The 5,071-nt window shown below is 37.6% G+C and overlaps 1 annotated feature.

The window, feature by feature from the left end:
* Positions 3,498–3,792: an enhancer, noted in NCBI's record as "tiled region #14725; HepG2 Activating non-DNase unmatched - State 24:Quies". NCBI's record gives its function as "activates a minimal TATA promoter and a strong SV40 promoter by Sharpr-MPRA in HepG2 cells {active_cell/tissue: HepG2}" and the evidence as "EXISTENCE:reporter gene assay evidence [ECO:0000049][PMID:27701403]".

Here is a 5,071-nt window from a genome sequence, read left to right as displayed (position 1 = left end):
GAAATAATTTTTAACAGGTAGATAAAAATAGGTCTTAATTCAAATCAGAGAGTTTTGGAAAAGTCAATAAATTTTTAACATGCTCTCAGTATATCCAAATATTTTGAAAAGTGAGTTCTTTGGAAGTTGCCATAGCAGCAGGTATTTGAGACTAGAAATATCTTTGAGTTTATATGTTATGTTGGTGTCAAAATTGTCTTATTATAGAAAGTGTCACAGATTTTCCATTCAGCATTACTTGGTAACAGTCACGGCAGGTAAGAAAAATCTGAGGAAAGTACCAAGGAAGGCAACTGCTAATACTTCCTTGTTTAACTTAGCCTTTCTAGGCAATTTAAGAAAGAATGAAATACATTACCCAGTGCATATTTCATTCATTCAGTGTAACTCTATTTTTTTAATAACGATATTCAGCACATATCAATAACTAGGTGTATTTATCTGCCAAAGACACACATTATGCTTCACATAATACTTTCAATTTTACTAGGCTAGTTTTGTAAACAGAAGATGATTACTTATTCAACAAAGATCAGACAAAGTAAAATAGCAGAAATGTTAGATGTTACCTCTGTGGTGACATCCAGGGATTCCCCTTCAGGGTGGATTAACTTTACATAGGAATCTAAAATAATTATGACTACACATGCTGAAGAATGAAATGTTCCCATCAGGCAATGATTACGACCAGCATCAAGATAGAATTTCAGCAGGCAATCAGAAATCACCAATTATGCAGAGTATATGCAAGAGATAATGTTGTTGGTGCATAAAAAAGCAGGAATGAATAACTGGATAAGATTTTTAAAGGGAGCAGATGGACTCATTTTGGCTCCTGACAGTTGACTTGTGCGTACTGTATGCACCTGACCCATGGTAACAGCCAACTACCCACACTCATTTGCAAAATGCTCTTCAACCACAATGATAGAAAACAAAGCAGAACAATTCTTGTTCAAACAGAATCTATTTCTTCTATACTTTATCTACCCAAGCCCTTTACTTTTCCCAAAAGCACGAATTTCTAATTTACATTTCAATGATGCATGTAACAATTACTTTATGTGTTTGCCAGCATGTTTTTTGAGATGCTTGTTATCCCACCACAACAGGAGCCACCATTATCTAAGATTTTTCTTGCTGGTTATTCTCTCTCTCTCTTTTATTTTTTTTGAGACGGATTCTCACTCTGCCACCCAAGCTGGAGTGCAGTGGTGCGATCTCAGCACACTGCAACCTCTGCCGCCTGGGTTCAAGCGATTCTCCTCCCTCAGCCTCTGGAGTTCCAGAGTAGCTGGGATTACAGGTGCCTGCCACCATGCCCAGCTAATTTTTTTTATTTTTATTTTTTTTTAGTGGAGATGGGGTTTCACCATCTTGGCCAGGCTAGTCTTGAACTCCTAACCTCGTGATCCACCCACCTCAGCCTCCCAAAATGCTGGGATTACAAGCGTGAGCCACTGCTCCCAACCTGGTTATTCTTAGTGAACCTTTACAGCTTTCTGCTATCAAGGATGGATTGAAGTTTGCAGATTTGGGGCAAGTTTCCATAACACAGAAACAAGAAGGGACATTAGTTTTTATGTAGTTCACGTTTCCACCTTTGAGATGTGAGATAAAGTACATAGAATCAAATACCTTGTCAACAACTAATTCGTGGCAAGGTCAAAACCAGAATGCAGGTGTCCCTAAAACATAGAAGCATAAACCACAATAATTTATTTCTCATAATGTTGTGAGGTGATTGGCTGACTTTTCTGCTGGTTTCACCTGGGCTTACCTGTATGGTTGCATTTAGCTAGAATGTTATCCTGGCCAGAAGGAACAAGATGGCTTCACTCGTCTTGCTGGCTGGGGCACATAGGCTCTCTTTGCAATGGGCTCTTGTCCTCAGGGGGGCTGGGCCAGCTCCCTTTACATGGCAGTCTCAGTCGGTGTTGCAAGAGAGCAAAAGCAAAAGTTGTAAGAACCCTTAAAACCTGGCCAGAACTGGCACTGCCACTCTTGTCCCATTCTGTTGGTGAAAGCTGGCCATATAGACAGATCAGATAAGAGAAGGAGAAATGGATTTCACTTCTTGATGGGAAGAATAGCAAAGAAACATTGCAAAGGAGCATGGTAGAAATCTCCCTAGGTTGTTTGTAAATGCTTTTCTATGTTCGGTCAACAATCTCAACGAGGAAGGACTACATTTCTGTGTCAGCCCAGCCTCTTCATCATTTGCGTCATTGTTGCTGTTGCAGCAAATGGGTTCATCCTAGTTTTTCTGCAAACACTTGGCCAACAGCCAATTTGTAGGGAAATTTATCTGATTTTGGTTGTTTGGCTTTATATAACAGTGAAAACTTTTAAACCATCTAGTAAAAAATAACTAGGTTCTCTTTTAAAATTAACTTGATTTGTAACCTAATACATTTTACAAAGTAATAAAACCTTGAGAAAGCCTTTTCCTGCTCTTAAGTCGAATCCTTAAAGTTTGATTAGTTTCCAACTGAAAGCTGTCGGGTTGAGCAAAATGCCTGTGCTTACAGTTTATGAGAGATGCCATTTGGTAACCTGAAGGTGGCAGATGCAAAGGCCAAAAGTGGAGAATGGTAGTGCGGCCAGGGTCGGGGGCCCCCAGCTGCTTTTTTGATGGGCTTTTTGTCAAAGTCTCTCCTCTAAGGAACGTGACTCCATGCAAGTGGCTGTAGGTCTCAGAATAAATATTTCATTAGTCGTGATGGTTTTGAAAACTTAAAGCTGTGAAGGACACATTGGAATCTCTCTGATTTATGATAAAGCTGAAGGAAATTTGATCATTCCAGTCCTGCCATATGTAGCTGTGAGAAATGTGCAAATGAATTGAACTAGCAAACCCCACAGATTTTGTTTCTTGATTACAAAAAAAAGTCTTAAGTCAGATCAGCTAACAGGCAATTTGAAACAGGGACTTAGCAAGGCAGCTGTTTTAGATGAAATTCCTTTCAGATGCTTCTTTCTCCCTTCCCCCGTCCATATTTTTCTTGCAAGGACTTAGAGCAGCTTATCTTCCAAAATTATTTTGGTGCTGCCTATCAGTGATTAAAAAAAAAAATAAAAGCCTGGCATAGTTCTGTAGGTGCATATGTTACTCCTCTATCAGTTTGCTCTTTGAGAGTGGGTGTTTTACCCATCCTAGTATGCCCACCAATCTTATTCTCTGCACATAATAATTCTTTATATGGTACATATAAGGCATTTAGCACAGAAGCTCAATAAAATGTACAAATCTTTTGAGTATATTATTAAATTTAATTATCATAAATATCTAGAGAGAAAGAGAAGTTAAATGACTTGCCAAACTTTATACAGGAGTTAGATGGCTAAACCAATTTGAACCCAGGGCTCCTGAGTTGTATCTAGGTTCTTTTTCTGTTACAACATGTTTGACATTTCATAATAGGTGCTCAGTAAATATTTATGGAATGAATGAATCCTCATTGTGATTGTCTTTGTTACCAGGCAATGCAGCTTAGTCAACAGAGCATATTTTAGAATCTAAAATTTAGATCAGCACGTCTGTTCTAAAACACAGTGATTCTTTGACTCTTGTCTTCGGTGACCCATGAACAGACCAGACTGGCCAAAAAGGAAGGAAGTGATTCATCGGGTCATTTGGACAAGGACTTCATTTCCCAATATGACAAGTCTTTCAACCCTTGCCCACAGTGATAGGAGCTTGGAGGTAATCAGGCTCAATGAACTGAATTTTCTTTTCTCTGTGGCATAGGTTCACATTCCTTTATCCAAAACTCTTAGATGAAAATTCAAAATATTTTAGATGTTAGAAAGGAAATACAGTGTATATTCTAAATATTCTGCATATACAGGCCTGAGGGTGCACCACACAATAAATATATTAAAATTTATACAGTGAAATAAATATTCTTAGTAGAATAAAGTCTATAAATAGCCTCACATCAGATTAAGGCAGATTTTGCCACTCAAAGAGCTTTGGAGCCAAAATTGCAAAAACATTTACAGTTTCAGAATTTTCAATTTTGGAATTGTGTATAAGAGATTGTAGACTTGAATTCTGGTGATAAGACGAGTCTCATAGAAATATGGGAAAAACTTTCTCTTGAGTGACATTTAAACATTTGGAAAGCAAACAAATGGACACACCGCTTCTCTTCTCTTCTCTGTCTGTGCCAATAAAAGAAAAAAGGCAAGAATTCTTTTCTAGACGGAAGATGTACCTGTATAATGTGCATTTCTCCACTGTCTCAATTTAAATATCCTTCCTTTATAGAGAAAAGCAGTCATGTTGCACCTTTTTAATGCCCATTTGAGTAAGTCCTGTAAGTCACGAGTTCCAGAGAAATCTACATTTCATTTTTATTGCATGTGAACCAAATATCTTACCTGACACGTGTCAAATGTATAAACACAATCTTCAGTTAAGTTTTTCTTTGTCTCTGTGCTTGTTCAGTAACCAAGGGCCTAATAAATGTTACTGGTTTTTTGGCCCAGTGCTGTCAGATTCCCTTAAGTCAGGCCCAATGCAGAAAAAGATCAATGTAGAATCAGTACAAATGCTGTAGGTTGGAGCATCCATCAGTTCAACCAGGAAGAAGGGAGTGGGGTGGGATGTTGTAAAATCATTACTCTTCACAAATTCTACCTCTTGAAATCAGAATCCAAATTTCCTCCATGTCATTTTCAAAGTTCAAAGAGAGTTATTTTCTTAAATTGCACTTCATTCTTTTTAGGAACATCTGTCCCGCTTGTTTCATCTTGTGTGTAAATGAGCTACAATAGCAAAAATTTCTGTCATCTTTGTCACTGATCTGGAATGAAAGTTACCAGAGAGTCTCTTGAGAAATGTGGTGGAGGTAATTGTGAACCCTACAAAAATGTGAGTCCTACATTGCATTTGTTAACCAAAAATCCTGGAAAATGGATATTTTCCTAATATCATCTCTAATAACCAAAATGTCTCTGCATAAATCACATATATAAGGAAGGTGCTTACACTTTCTAGAGTAATAACATTAATAAGAAATCAACTTCAGATAAAGAATAAAATAGCTATTTATGTGGCAAGGTA

Source organism: Homo sapiens, chromosome 2, assembly GCF_000001405.40.
Source record: "Homo sapiens chromosome 2, GRCh38.p14 Primary Assembly".
Classification (NCBI taxonomy): Eukaryota; Metazoa; Chordata; class Mammalia; order Primates; family Hominidae; genus Homo; species Homo sapiens.
This window is presented reverse-complemented; position numbering and strand designations above follow the sequence as displayed.